This window comes from Homo sapiens, chromosome 10, assembly GCF_000001405.40.
Source record: "Homo sapiens chromosome 10, GRCh38.p14 Primary Assembly".
In the NCBI taxonomy this organism is placed as follows: domain Eukaryota; kingdom Metazoa; phylum Chordata; class Mammalia; order Primates; family Hominidae; genus Homo; species Homo sapiens.
The window spans coordinates 129,443,164-129,458,036 of record NC_000010.11 but is presented as its reverse complement, the minus strand read 5'-3'; the positions used below and the strand labels follow the sequence as shown (position 1 = coordinate 129,458,036).

The 14,873-nt window shown below is 42.7% G+C and overlaps 3 annotated features.

Moving 5' to 3' along the window:
* Positions 11,410-11,930: an enhancer, noted in NCBI's record as "NANOG hESC enhancer chr10:131244371-131244891 (GRCh37/hg19 assembly coordinates)". NCBI's record gives its function as "activates a minimal SCP1, AML or CMV promoter by ChIP-STARR-seq in naive H9 embryonic stem cells {active_cell/tissue: H9 hESC(naive)}" and the evidence as "EXISTENCE:reporter gene assay evidence [ECO:0000049][PMID:30033119]".
* Positions 11,518-11,812: an enhancer, noted in NCBI's record as "tiled region #9394; HepG2 Activating non-DNase unmatched - State 23:Low". NCBI's record gives its function as "activates a minimal TATA promoter and a strong SV40 promoter by Sharpr-MPRA in HepG2 cells {active_cell/tissue: HepG2}" and the evidence as "EXISTENCE:reporter gene assay evidence [ECO:0000049][PMID:27701403]".
* Positions 11,518-11,812: a silencer, noted in NCBI's record as "tiled region #9394; K562 Repressive non-DNase unmatched - State 24:Quies". NCBI's record gives its function as "represses a minimal TATA promoter and a strong SV40 promoter by Sharpr-MPRA in K562 cells {active_cell/tissue: K562}" and the evidence as "EXISTENCE:reporter gene assay evidence [ECO:0000049][PMID:27701403]".

Here is a 14,873-nt window from a genome sequence, read left to right as displayed (position 1 = left end):
TCCACAGCCACAGGCCCCTGGTTGCTGAGCACTAGGGAGAGTTGATAAGAGGAATGAGGTGGTGTTCGGGAAGGAAGGAGTCAGCCCCTCCTAACCCTGCTAGCCACAGAAAGACTTTCAGATTTCTATCGACTTAGGAATAGAGTCTATTGGAATGTGGTTCAAACCTGCATCTTGCATCAGTGGAAATGGGCATTGTGATTGCTGTGCTGAAACCTGTGCTCAAATGCATTGGGAGTTTTATACTGTGTTTCGAACTTCCAAATAGATAATGTCAGAACATTTCTGAAATGGGATACTAACATCAAGATATACGACACCAATCAACAAGCATCAGGCAAAGCAGTGCATAGAACTCGGGGTGGAAGAGACTCCTAGAGAATTTCCATTTCCATTCCCTGTGTCAACAGCGTGGTAACTCACCTCCTAGATTGCTTTATGGTTTCAGGAGAAATTCTCAGTAGGCTCCCTGTGCTGTACTCAGCTCCGTGTTCAAAGCCCAGGAATTAGATATGTCGTAGTTTATGAAACTGTTTATGAAAGGATCTTTTTTGAATTGTTCAAAATCCAAAAGGAGTCAAACTTTGACAGTTTAAGACAACGGCAAGAGGGTCATAGCGATCTCCCCAGTGCAGCCTTGGCACTGAGGCTCTCTGGTTGAAAATGCAATTTCTTTTTTGTGAATTTCTTCCAGCCCATAATGCTCTGTTTGAAACTTTTGCCTTTTTGAAAGGATTTCTTTACTATGAAGCAGCTGACAAAGGTCATATGATGAATATGTTTCGGGGATGATAACATTTTGATTAGATATGCAAGAATCTTCTATCCTTCCCTAGGATGTCATATTCTAACGTTTTCCATTATTTTAAAAAAATCTTGTTAAGTTGATACTAGTCTGCAATAAGAACTTGAATTTTGTGGCTTATTTTCTTTGCTGTAATGTGCCAGCACCGTGGGCATCGTTGCAGGGAATAAATGACTCTTCCCCAATAAACCAAATGCCCAAAGAAGCCCCTGGAGGAGGCAGGGATGTCCATAAAAGTTGAAATGGATTTCATAATATGGTGTTCAATTTAGTATAATAAGTAGAATTCAAAAATAGCCTAATCTGCCAAACGAAAATACCTTTGCTCATCGCGGAGGGTGGGACCTTGTACAGGAACCAAATGTATGTGGCTTAAGACATGCCAAAATATTTTCATTAAATTATTCATTTTCTTCCATTTAAGTCATTAGTTACCTGAAAAAATGGAGATCTTTCTCTCTCTCTCCCTCTCTAAGCTTGAAAAATTAGCCCCTTAAAGACAACTTCCAGAAAGCATTTATCAAAAGGCCAATCCTGGTTCTGGAGCTCATTGAGAAAAGGTCTGTGTTTGCAGCTTTGTCGTTCTCCTGCAAAGATTCTCAGTAACAGAAAATATTTCAAAAGTGATACCGGTAAGCTGACATCATTAATTGTTCTCTAATACTGGGATTGCTGTGGAAAATGAAGCACCAAGGCTCAGCCTTAGAAGGCAAAGTGGGAACCTGTTTAGAAGTTTGATAGATGGCATCATGATGTTCAGAAGAAAAAAACGGGCAGTTAGAGAGAGACGGAAGCACCCGGAGAGTGATGGAAGCGGGCTCTGGTTCCTGTGCCACTGGGTTTGATGAAAAATCAGCACAAAGACAAGAGAGCAGGGAAAACGAAGAAAGATGAGGGCACCCCCAATCCACAAAGGTGTTAAACACGCACTTTCCACAAACGCAATGCTTCTAAATGATGTTCCCAGAAATCAAAATGATCTAATAATCTCTGCAAAGTACGTATTTACCAAGATAAAACTTCTCAATCTCAAGCATCATTTTGGAAACTGAAGGTTTGGGAGTTTATTTAAAATTCTTTGTAAATTTTTTTCCCTAAACCCTTAATAACAGAGAAATAAAAACAATGGACACATCATCTGATGCAGTTTCATGATTACACTTCCACAAAATGTTCATGCATCCACATTTTACTCCATTCTTAAGCAAAATGATCCATAAGTGGTAAGTAAAATGATTTCAATGTCCACCTCAATAAATATTTTGGTAATGAGATCTTTAAAAATGTTTTAATTAGCAACCAAATGCCAATTTTTCCAGGCGTGTTTCCCACTCCCTCTCCACCCAGGGTCAATAGCAGCATCCAGTGTTTTCAGGCTGTCCCTGAACTCTTTGTTCAGTGATTGGAACTGATGAATTGTAGCTTCCTTTGAGCCAGACTCTGCCAACAGACCTCAACTTGCGTTTGTTATGGAGCCAAAAATAACCTTTAAATGATTAAATTCCTCAGTTTGTTTTGGTGGCACGACATGAGAAGACGAAAGTGGCCGCATTGCACCCCAGGAGGAACTCCAAGGATGAACCTGGAGGCATCCTAGCTCCATCGTGTCCTAGCTCTGTGGCCTTAGCACGTTTCTTAGCCATACAGAGCCTCAGTTTTATTGTCTGTAAAATGGAGATGATAATACCTGACTTACCAGAAAGCCTTGCAACTGACTGTGATAATGTCAGTGGAAATGCCCACCACAGTAAACCCTAACCACAGCAGGGGCTCAAATCGTTAGCTTCCTTTGGAAAGGATTACACAGCACTAGTTGTAGAATCTTATAACCCTCATGTAGTGCTTTAGAGTTGTTCAAAATGCTTTAATATCAATCATTGATTTCTCTCATAGTAACTTCAAAAGCCAGTGCTCACCTCTCTCCTGACCTCCAGGCCTGGTATGTAGTGGCCTATTTTGCATCTCGTGGAACCCGCCCTTCCCCTGGAGTGCCAGGTCTTTGTGAAATGTCACCAGCATCCTGGCTGCTCTATGCTACCCCAATCATTGGCCCCCAATGCAAGTCTTTTTTTTTTTTTTTTTTTTTTTGCAGACATTACACTGGTGTGCAATTATTTCTGCAGCTAGACGGTGCTGAATAAACATGTCAGACAAATGAAAACATGAATGAAGGAACCCATGAAACAATGCAAAGATAATTCTACAACGGAACTGAGAATTAAACTCCACAGGCTGGGACGGCTAGGGAAGGCATCCTGGAAGAATCAGGACTCAACATGGAGCAGAGGGGGAACTAGGGTGGGTCTCAGGAAGGAGTGGAGGACTGGAAAATCAGCCTAAGATCAAAGTGGGGATGCCAGAGGGGCACCTGCAGGGATCGGGAAGCCAAGAAAGTGTTTGAACTTGATGCAGTGGTTAATAGTGAGCCAGAGCAGGTTCTTGAGCCCAAGAAGGATGTGGGAGATAACTCCCACATCTACAGGTTTTCCAGCTGTGAGAGATGGATGGGACTGGCTCTTCAAAACACAGGAAACATGGCAATGGCCACCTCACTCCAACTAGCTAGGAAAACCTTCTGAGGAAAGGCTTCAAAGAATAGGTATTGTTTATCAAATGCTTTTTCCTTCCCCAAATGTATGGGCCAAAAAATTGTACATTATAGCTATGATAATACAGTAATTATTGACCTTTGCTAATTAATTTTTTATTTTTTTAAAAAAATCAGGACTCCATTTGAAAATGGCAGTTCCACCAGGCAGCTGGAGGAATTTCCCTGGAGCTCGCCCTCCTGTCACTGCACCACCTCTAACGCCTGTGCAGATTAAAAGCTGCCATTTACGGGCAAATGTGGATCCTATATTTTGACTTTGTCTAATTCTTCTTAAACTGGGCTAGCTTATTTAATATGAGGACGTTGTGGCTCTTGCTGAAGGCAGAATTAGCAACCATTACCTTTTAAGAAATCTGTGGACAATCTTTCCCAACCATAAAATCATTTCCATTCTCCAACCATCAAGTTTTCAAATGGATTTCGTAAATGTGCAAAAACTCCAAGCAAATCTATTTTTTAAAAATGTCAGGCTGCAAATAAGGAAAATCAGAAGGGGAGAAGGGAACACCATCTGTCAATGCCCCACCGGCCTTCATAGCAGCCCAGTTCTTATGATTAACCTACCATACTCCCCATAAAGTCTAAATCATTCTCACCTTCCCGGGAGTTTGTAAGCCAGACAATTGTGAAGGGGAACGACTCATAATACGACTGCAAAATTTCACAGTTGAAAGTCAAATAGCAGTGATTTTGCTTTGCCAGCCTGACACCACCTTGACCATGTGGATGTAAGTCCCTGGGCAGTGAACATGCTCTGTGAAGCACTGGAGTCATGTTGGTGCAAGCAACTCCTCAATTTAAAACGTGGTAGGACACAGTCACAGAGGGCATCGGGCACTTTTTTCTCCATCAAAATTCCATACATTATGGTAACTGGGGAATTAATGCCAACCACAACCACAATATAAAACCTCCACCAATTACGCTGTGTGTGAGTCTGAGTTCTCCAGGTAAATAATATATATCCTATTGGTTCTGTTATATCTATATATCTTGTAATTATGTGTGTGTGTGTGTGTGTGTGTGTGTGTGGTGTGTGTACAGTCATGCCTTGCTTACTATCAGGGATACATTCTGAGGAATGGGTTGTTAGCTGATTTCATCCTTGTGCAAACATCATGGTGCATTTACACTCACCTAGCCTAGCCTACTCCACACCGAGCCTGTATGGTATAGCCTATTGCTCCCAGGCTGCAGACCTGTACAGCATGGGACTGTACTGAATGTAGTAGGCAGCTGTAACACAGTGGTAAGTATTTGTGTATCTAAACATGGAAAAGGTACAGTCGAAATACAGCATGAAAGATAAAAAATAAGAAACCTGTATAGGGCGCTTAACCATGAATGAAGCTTGCAAGACAGGAAGTTGCTCTGAGTGAGCCACTGAGTGAGTGGTGAATGAATGTGAAGGTCTAGGACATGACTGCACGCTATGTAGGCCTATAAACATTGTACACTCAGGCTACACTAAATTGATTTCAAAAATAATTATGCTGTGACATTGTGACAGCTATAACATCACTCAGCAATAGGAACATTTCAGCTTCATTATGCTCTTACGGGATCACTGTTGTATATGCGGTGCATTGTTACTTGAAATATTATGGCACATGACTGTATATATATATAATAATATGTATATAATGAGATTTATGTCTTATTATAAGGAATAGGCTCCTGCAATTACAGAGGCTGAGAAGTCCCAAGATCCACAGGTGGCAAGCTGGAGACCCAGGAGAGCTGATAGTGTAAGTTCCAGTCCGAGTTTATGGGTGTGAGAACCAGGAGGGCTGGTGGTGTGGTTCTAGTCAAAGTCCAAATCTGAAAGCAGGAGAAGACCAACGTCCCAGGTCAAGGACAGCCAGGCAGAGAGAACTCGGTCTTTTTTATTTTCCATTCAGGCCCTCAGTGGATCGAAAGGGGCTGACCCACATTGGGGAGGGCAACCTTCTTGACTCAGTCTATAAATTTGAATGTTTCTCATCCAGAAACACCCTTGTGGACACACCCAGAATAATGTTTAACCAAATATCTGGGCACCCTGTGGCCCAGTAAAGTTGACACATAATATATACCACCACATGCTGGTACTTAAAAACATTAAAGATCATTTCACAAATGTGTTGACCATTTTAACTCACTCCTCCCCTGTGTGTAACTCAGACCATGCAACCTGAGACCCCGTGTTGAAATTCACCTCTTGGACTATGTCTTAAAGACGTCCCCATGGGTCTAGAGATGCCACACATAGATTCATTGACAATCCCTGAAGAGAACTAAGGCAGGCATTCATTTTCCTCACATCTATATAGTCTTAAATAAGAGCTGCCATTCAGGTACTGAAATGTGTGGTGCATTAACCTCCTGAGAAACACTCACTCTATTTATTATTTCTGAGAAAGACCCCACCTCTACTAACTAGCACTCTTGTTCTCTTCTCCCATGTCCTTCTGCTCTTCCTTCTACAGGGCAAGCCCCAACCATGGGCATGATAATGTCAAAAGCAGACTTGAGAAGAGCAAGAAGACACTTCCTTATTGACGGACCACCTCATTGATTCATTCATTCATGCACCATTCATTTTGAAAAGAAATAATCTGCCATTTGGGTGGCAGGGAGGAGATGACAAAACTGAACATATTAGGCACAAGAGAGTGAAGTTTAGAATTATTTGCACACAAGTATTGAAATGATGAGTGAGTGGGTTAGAGGAGTGACTTATTGACTGAGGTGGAAAGAGCAAGTGCAGTGGACAGTGACTGAGATCCAAAGTCCAAGTCCAAAGTCGGAGGACTTTCAAGGAATAACAGTGACCAGGAATAACATCCAGTGAGTGCAACATGCCATGAGACTTTCTGAGCTGGACAGAGAGCTGCAGGCCTGCAGAGAGGAGTGTGACTTTGGCCAAAGTCACACTGCTGCTGGTTCCTCCTTCTCTGTCCCTGTCAATTGTCCCTGATCTTGTACCCAACTCTTCAACTCTTTCAACCCTTATTTTAATCTCTCTCTCTCTATTTTAGCATATAAAATCATGGTAAAATATACATAACATGAAATCTACCATCTTAACCATTTTTCAGTGTGTAGTTCAGTGATATTCATCACAGTCACATTGTTGTGCAACCACCACCACCATCCATCTCCAGACCTTTTTCATCTTGCAAAACGGAAACTCTGTCCCCATTAAACCATAACTCCCCATTCCCCTTCTCCCCAGCCCCTGGCAATCACTCTTCAACTTTCTGACTCTATGAATTTGACGACAAGGGACTTCATTTGGTGGAATCATACCGTATTTGTCCCTTTGTGTCTGGAGAATATCACTTAGCAAGTCTTCCAGGTTCTTCTATGTTGTCGCATGTGTCATTTTCCTTCGTGAGGTGGAATAATATGCTATGTGTGGATGCGTCACAGTTTGTGCATCCATTCATGCATCAGCAGATGCTTGGATTGTTTCCATCTTTTGACTTTTGCAGATAATGCTGCTGTAAACATGGATGTGCAAATATCTGTTTGAGTTCTTGCTTTCAGTTCTTTTGTGTATATACCCAGAAGTGACATTGCTGAATCATATGATGATCACATATTTAATTTTTGGAGAAACTGCCATAATGTTTTCTTTTTTTCTGAGACACAGTCTCACTCTGTCACCCAGGCTGGAGCGCCCAGTGGCACAATCTTGGCTCACTGCAACCTCTGCCTCCCGGGCTCAAGCGATTCTCCTGCCTCGGCTTCCTGAGTAGCTGGGACTACAGGCGCGTGTCACCATGCCTGGCTAATTTTTGTATTTTTAGTAGAGACAGGGTTTCACCATGTTAGCCAGGTTGGTTTCGAACTCCTGACCTCAGGTGATCTGGCTGCCTCCGCCTCCCAGGGTGCTGGGATTACAGGCATGAGCCACCATGCCCAGCCTGCCATAATGTTTTCTGTAGGAGCTGTACCATTTTACATTCCCACCAGTCATGTACAAGAGTTCCAATTTTTCCACATCCTTGCCAGCACTTGCTGTTTACTGCTTTTATTTACTTATTTTTTTGCTAATATTTATCCTAATGGGTGTTGTCCCCAGCCTTCGGGTTTCATGCCCTAGGATCCAGCCCCTGGACTCTCTCTTTCACATCCACATTCATACTTTAGTGGTATCTTCCAGGCAGAAGGCATCATAGAACATCACCCACTAATGACTCACAGATCTGTTATCTCCAGCTGAGATTTCTCTCTCAAAATCCAGACCCCTTTATACAGCTGCCTGCCTACTTTCCTCTGGGTAACTAAAAGACACTGCAAAGTCAACATCTCCACTTCTGAATTCCTGATCTGTACATCCCCTCCCAAAGCTACTTCACCCACAGCTTCCCCATCTAGAGGATGGCAAGTCCATCCTTCTAGGGGCCACTGCCCTTAGACCTTGCCCAAAGTGGGAGGCTCTCAGGGGGTCTCCTTTCCTACAGGGCCCCTCTTACTGCAGGCATATGTGCACACACATACACATGCCATTTAGGCAAGAACATGTGGGTTTCTAAGTGGTCATGGAGCAGGGCTTGGTGCTGGCAAGGCAGGACCCTGAAACATTTGCTCTGAATTCTGATGATACTCGGGTCCTGGGAACACACCCTCCCAGCCCCCCTACACACAGAAATCACCCACCTTGTGCCATCGTCTTAGTACCACAGAGGTTTGTGGTGGAGCTGCTCCATGGGAGACAGATGCTGCCTCTGTCTGTAAGGGGGACTTGAGTAGGGAAGAGCAAAGAGAAATGTATTAACTTCTCACACCGTTCTTTTAAGCAGGGTTACTATAGATTGTTGTATAATGAAGTATCACTTCCCAGAATTGCCCAGTGTCCATTTTCTTACTTGTCTTCATGATCCAATGTGTGATTCCAGAGCTGCTCCAGTGAGCACGGGGTCCACAACAATTGCATGTGGTTGCTGAGGAACCATGGCTGACAATATTAAGCAATGCATAGTCTCAAATTTGCATAAATGTAGGTCTAGTTATAACCTACATGAAGTGAGATATGCTTTCTTTCTTCTTCTCTCCCTCCCTCCCTTCCTTCCTTCTCTTTCTCCCCTCCCCCTCCCTCCCTTCCTTCCTTCTCTCTCTCTTCCCTCCCTCTCTCCTTCCCTCCCTCCCTCCTTCACTCACTCACTCACTCACTCACTCCTTCCTTCCTTCCTTCCTTCCTTCCTTCCTTCTTTTCTTCCCTTTCTTCCCTCTCTTCCTTCTCTTTTGTTTCCTTTCTTTCTGACAGGGTCTCGCTCTGTTATCCAGGCTGGCATGGCACAATCACAGCCCCAACTAATTCTTTTTTTAAATTTTTTATAGAAATGGGGTCTCCCTATATTGCCCAAGCTGGTCTGAAACTCCTGGGCTCAAGTGATCCTCCAGCCTCAGCCTCCAAAGTGTTGGGATTACAGGTGTGAGTCACCACACCTGGCCTACTTTTTTTTATATAAGCAACACAGCATTTTCTGGTCTGGTTACAGTTCTCAGTGGAATCATAAATAGTTTCATTTTTACCTAAATATTTCAGGTGATTTAATTAAATTTTCAAAGTTTTTTTTAAAAAACTAGCTTTGATTAAAGTTACTTCCATAATTAAAATTTGTGTTTTGCTTTTTAACAGCTAATTTTGAATGTTTTAGAGGCAATACTTTTTGAAAATATGAAAAATTATTTAAATTTATTTTCTAAATTTACATTTAATTTCCTTTTTAAAAAAAAAATTTTTAGAGACACGATCTCAATCTGTCACCCAGGCTGAAGTACAGTGGTGTGATGACCATAGCTCACTGCAGCCTTGAACTCCTGAGCTCATGTGATCTTCCCGCCTCAGCCTCTGCCTCTTGAGTAGATAGGCCCACAGGCATGCACCACCATGCCTGGATAGTTTTGTAAACACATTTTTTAGAGATGAGGTCTCACACTGTTGCCCAGGCTGGACTCGTACACCTGGCCTCAAGCAAACCTCTTGCCTTGGCGTCTCAAAGTGCTGGGATTACGGGTGAGAGCCACTGCACCAGGCTTAATGTACATTTTTGACAAAAATGCATTCAAAATTTGGCACTTTATCACATTAATGTTAAAAGATGAATTATGTGAAAATCTTGCTCATACAACATAATTATTGATTATACTGAATGAGGCAAGAAAAATAAATTTTACTGAAAAAGTACATACTCATTTATGAATTATGGATGTCTTTATTTTTGACTTATTCAAGCATTGCTGGCCCGTGAGTAAAACCCCCAGACATGTACAACAAGCATTACATTCAGCCATTGAGATTTTGCCAACTTTCAGCCAATAAAAATCATAGCTTTCCACGTATTTTTTGGTTTCATCATTAGGAAAGCAGGAGGATAGCCAATATTTTATTTGAAAGTTTGCTGGCTCGATTTCTTCTTTTGAAATATTTAGACCTCTGGTCTGTGGACTTGCAGTTGTGTTCTCCGTCCAGGATCCATGTGTGCTAAGTGAAGGACAAATATTTATCGCATCCTTGACACCTCACTTTTTTTTTTTTTTTTTTTTGTGGGGCAGGGGGATGGAGTCTCACTCTGTCACCCAGGCTGGAGTGCAGTGACGTGATCTCGGCTCACTGCAACCTCCGCCTCCTGAGTTCAGGTTATCCTCTTGCCTCAGCCTCCTGAGTAGCTGGGATTACAGGTGCCCGCCACCAGGCCCGGCTAAGACACCTCACTTTCTTTCTGGTGCCTCATTCAGTGTGGCAGAGAAACTGGAGCTTCAGGTACATGCAGTCGCCCAAGACTTTCATCACCTCCACCCTCATCTGTCACCTAATATTTATTCTAATGGGTGTTGTCCCCAGCATTTGGGTTTCGTGCCCTAGGATCGTGTAGGTGGCTTCGACTCACTCCTCTTCATCCTCTGTCAGAGCCTTCTCTGTGACTCCACTCCCCTCCGTTCCTCATCCAGGGAGCCTTCCACGCCCTGCCTCTAGCCTCCAACCACCCAGACCACATCTCTCCTCCTCTCCCAACTCTGCCAGTCACATGTTTCCCCCAGGGCTCCAACTGTTCCTGCTGCCTAAACACTGTTCCCTTTAGCACCTTTGCTAACCTGCCTACTGCCTTTGAGACTCAAATACCACCTTCAGGAGGCCCTCCTTGACCACTCTACTTTAAATTGCTGTTGTTCATCTGCAACCTGCCCTGAACCTCCACCCACCTGAGCATGCTCTAATTTTTTCCTAAGCTCATTTCACCTTCAAAAATCCTCTATCATTGTCTTAGTCATCACACGTATTTTCTAAACATTTCCACTTAAATACAAGCTCTGTAAGAGCAGCGATTTTTGTCTGCTTTATTCATTTATGTATCCTGGCATATGCTGACACTTAATAAATATTTATTGAAGAAGTGAAAGTGGGCCAAAAAAATGTTCTTCAGTGGGGAGTAAAAGCAAAGTAAGTAAAAGCAGTTAAGGAGAAATTTGGGATCATTTGGTCAGCCCTAGGCTGGTCCCCACCCCGATGGGGTATTCAAAGCTCAGAGAACATGAAAGTCTTGGCTGAGGTTTTGTAGATTGCAGGGAAAGAGCCCTGGTGGGCACCTGGTCTGACCATGGCTGCTACTCTTTCAGTCTTACCTTCGAGGAAGGGCTCCCATGCTAGACCCCAGAATGGAGATTTGGCCTGCTAAGTGACAGGCAGCCCCTGGTCTTGAGCAGTGGAATCACTGAGGATGAAGATACTTTTAGGACTTGCTGGTCAGGCGACTTGGGTGGAGACAGACAAGAAGTTGGGAGAAGACTCACCCAGGACCTTCCTGGCTAGGGTCAGGCCAAGGTTCAGGCCCAGGTCCTCAGGCAGCCACCTCCATCTCAGCCCTGGCTATGGCCTCCCACTGTCCCCAGATTTAGCAAATAAAAATCCAGGATGCCCAGTTAAATATGAATTTCCAACAAACAACAAGATTTTTTTGTGTAAATATGCCCCCAAGATTGTGTGTATTGTTTATCTGAAATTCAAAATTTTCTGGACATTTTGTATTGTATCTGGCCATCCTACGTCCAGACCACTGTGAGGGGGCAGGGACTGGTCTCCGCTACTCACCTCCAAAATCCTTTCCTTCCCCAGCCTACAAGCGTAAAAGGGCCCGAGGTACAGCCACTCCCCTTGCATCAGCTCCAGGTAAGTGAAGCCCTTTCTTCTCCTCTTGGGGCAGCCTCGCATCCCAGCTGCTGGGCTTTTCCAACCAAGGATGGGTGGGGCTTGAATTCAGGGCAACTTCTCAAACATCAAAAGAAGCATTTAACTTCTCCCTGGGCAAGCCCTAACAGAGTCTGGCTGCTGTTCTTGGGGGAGACAAGCTCAGATTCTCTTTCTCTCCTACTCTCTCTCTCTTTCTCTCTCTCTTTCTTTTTTTTTTTTTTTTTGCTGAGAACCCCATAGCAGTGGAAAAGGCAATATACCAGTTATTTTTATTTTTATTTTTGTTTTTTTACCAGTAATTAACCCTATTACACCAAGTTTTAAAGAATTGGAATATAATGGAACATACTTAATGTGAAGTCTGTACTGAGCATAATTCAGCCTTGGATGATTTGAAGGCACTGTGTGACTCTACCAGACCTGCCATTAATCTCATCATGGCAAGTACGAGGACATGACTATGGGCTCTCTCATCAGAACAGGGAGTGGTGGAGAGCTTGCTCAGCCAGGCACGACTTATGGCCAAATCGCTTGTGCCTACAGTCCAGTGATGGGAACGAGTGATTTCTTTGACTGTTTCTTTCTTTACCAGGAAAAAAAATGCATTCAGAAATAAGTCTACATTGCACAACAAAATGGCACTTTGTCTCAGTCCCCAAGGAATCCGCGGCATTTTGGTCGAGGCACGGTCTTGACTGACCACACTTTCTCTCAAGGTGTGGCCTACTTAGCCGAATGAGCAGAGCACATCTATAATTAGCATTATATGCAGAATAAAAAGACTCTTTAAGGAACATCTCTGGGTCCTCACAGTCTTAGGCATCTGTTGCCATGGAAGCCGGCGGCAGCTCCAAAAATCTAAGTGGTGAGCAACAATTACCCACTCGCCGCTGAAGGGCCTCTTTAAATAAAGTTGCCTTTTTTCTTTGGATTCTGAATAAACATAAACCTGGGTTTTTAGTGCAAAATCCTGATTTCAAGGTTATTGATGCCATCCTAAATTAATACAGTCTGCGCGACAGCACACACCACCCCAGCCAAGCCAGGGATACTCCTGTCTTCTGAAAGCTTGACATTTGTTTTTCATCATGAACTTAAAGGTCACAGGCTACAGATGGATCAGAGTACCTGCCTGAGTTTACATTTACATGCATTTTATTTTATTCCCACATGCACTTTTTATGAGATCCATCACTGGAATAAAACTGTAGCACTCCCATATTCTCTAGGCTGGCTAAACTAGGAGAGTTGTCAAGCTGCTATCTCTACATAATTTGAATTAAAATAAGAAATATATGCTGATTTGATATTTCGAAAGCAACAGCTTTAAGTCTAATGTTGGCTAAAACTGGCCATCACAGAGAGTGCACACATTTCTAGACGTTACTTATTAGTGTAATTTGGGGGGCAGATTGATGATAGACTCTAATCCTATTATGCACTTTGTATTTAAAGCCATAGACTTCTCACAATCCAGCTAACCCCAACATGATTAGCCAACGATCAATTCACAATTGATGGGGGAAATGCACCTGGTCTTATTTTCTACAAATGGATGTTTGCGTTTGTGTTTCTGTGCGAGGTAAGCATGCCACTTGCATCATTGTGTTACTACTGTTTCGCCCTTTTTTGTGATGCCAAATAACATTTTATATTTTTACCAAAATACCTGTGGAGCTGACAGAGCATGATGCATTCATTTTCCTTGATTTTGTAGTGAGGGAAAAGGCTAGCATGAATAATTCAAAAATAATGCTGAGACTGTTAAGATTTAGTATTGGAGAGGTCATCACAGTTGGGAGAAATGAGCTAGGAGACTATTACTATTCCACGATCTTTGAATCTCAAGGTGACATCATTATTATTTCTCTATATCTATAATGTGGTGCTGCAACCAGCTTATTGCTGTGTTTCTCATGTAGGGGAGAAAGATCAATTACATACAGACCTCAAAATGTGAACCATAAGCAGAGTGCCCAATAAAACTGTCATTAACAGTTCCCACAATGTTAGCTGCATGCTTCCAGGTCAAGCTGCTTTAAAAATGATAACTGACATTGAAAGTTTGAATAAAGAGCATCCGTTCTAAAGGCAGCCATTTCTTAGCCGCATAACTGAAACTCTTTAATAACACTTGCTAATTTCAGTCTGAACTGCCAAAGATACCCTAATGATAAGCTCAGCACTGAGGATACTTAGAGAATGAACACAAGCCCCAGCGTCCCCCTTTGAAAAATAGGTTTGTTACTGGATCGACATCAACGGCAAGCACTCTTGAGTAAGCATAAAGCAGTCCCATGCAATCATATTTAATTTATTCCTCTTTTCAACCAGAAGCGGAAGGATACCACCAAAAAATAAAATGCATGCTAGAGTAGTGTTTACAGCGCTTCCCTCACCATTTGTTACTGCTACATAATCAGGATAAATCTTGCTTTCTCTAGAACAGGATTAAAAAACACCTCTACATTCAAAAATATTAAAATGGAATAGAGCTATTACTACTGCAAAATCCCTTTTTTCTACCCCCAAAGGGTCCCTACATGTTTAAAACATCTTTTTTACTTCACAGAATTTTATAAGCCTTCCCACCAGCTTACTTTTTAATTAAAATGTTCCTGTTAGTGTCAGAACTCTGAAACATCACATTTGGTTTAAAGGTTGAGCAGTTCATAGCATTTGTGATTTTTGTAAGAGGGGATATAAAAGCACTACAGATTTCTTCTTTTAAGTGATACGAAAGCACATGGAGCCAATGTTTATCCCGTTCCTGAACGTCTGTTGTATCCATCCGGCGGTAGGTCCCCTCTGACTCACGGAGGTAGTTGCTAACAAAAGACGCTTCTCAGCCCTGCACCTGAAGCCATGCTGGGTTTTTGATTTGTTTGTTTTTTGATAATTTTGGTAATGATCATTTTGATATTTCTGCATCTGTTACCAAGTGGCTAATGAGTCTCTGCTTTATCTCCTTAAATTGTATTTAAACATTTATAAAGTGGTATTTATTGTGAAATGATGATCTCTAAGTTAAAATGAAATATGTGCGCAACCGTCATGGTTGGCCGGCTTCCTAAAAGACACTTTTTCCTCCTCCTCCCTCTTTCGTCTTCTATCTGTCTTTACCTCCTCCTGTCCTTCTCTGTCTTCAGCCACATGATGGTTGCAGAGAGCCAAGCCTACTACATGCCCCCTGAGGATGCTAGATGGAAGGATGGAAGGTGCCAGGGCCCTTGTGGGTGTCACGGGGCTCATGACTGAGCCACTGCTGGAACTCTTCA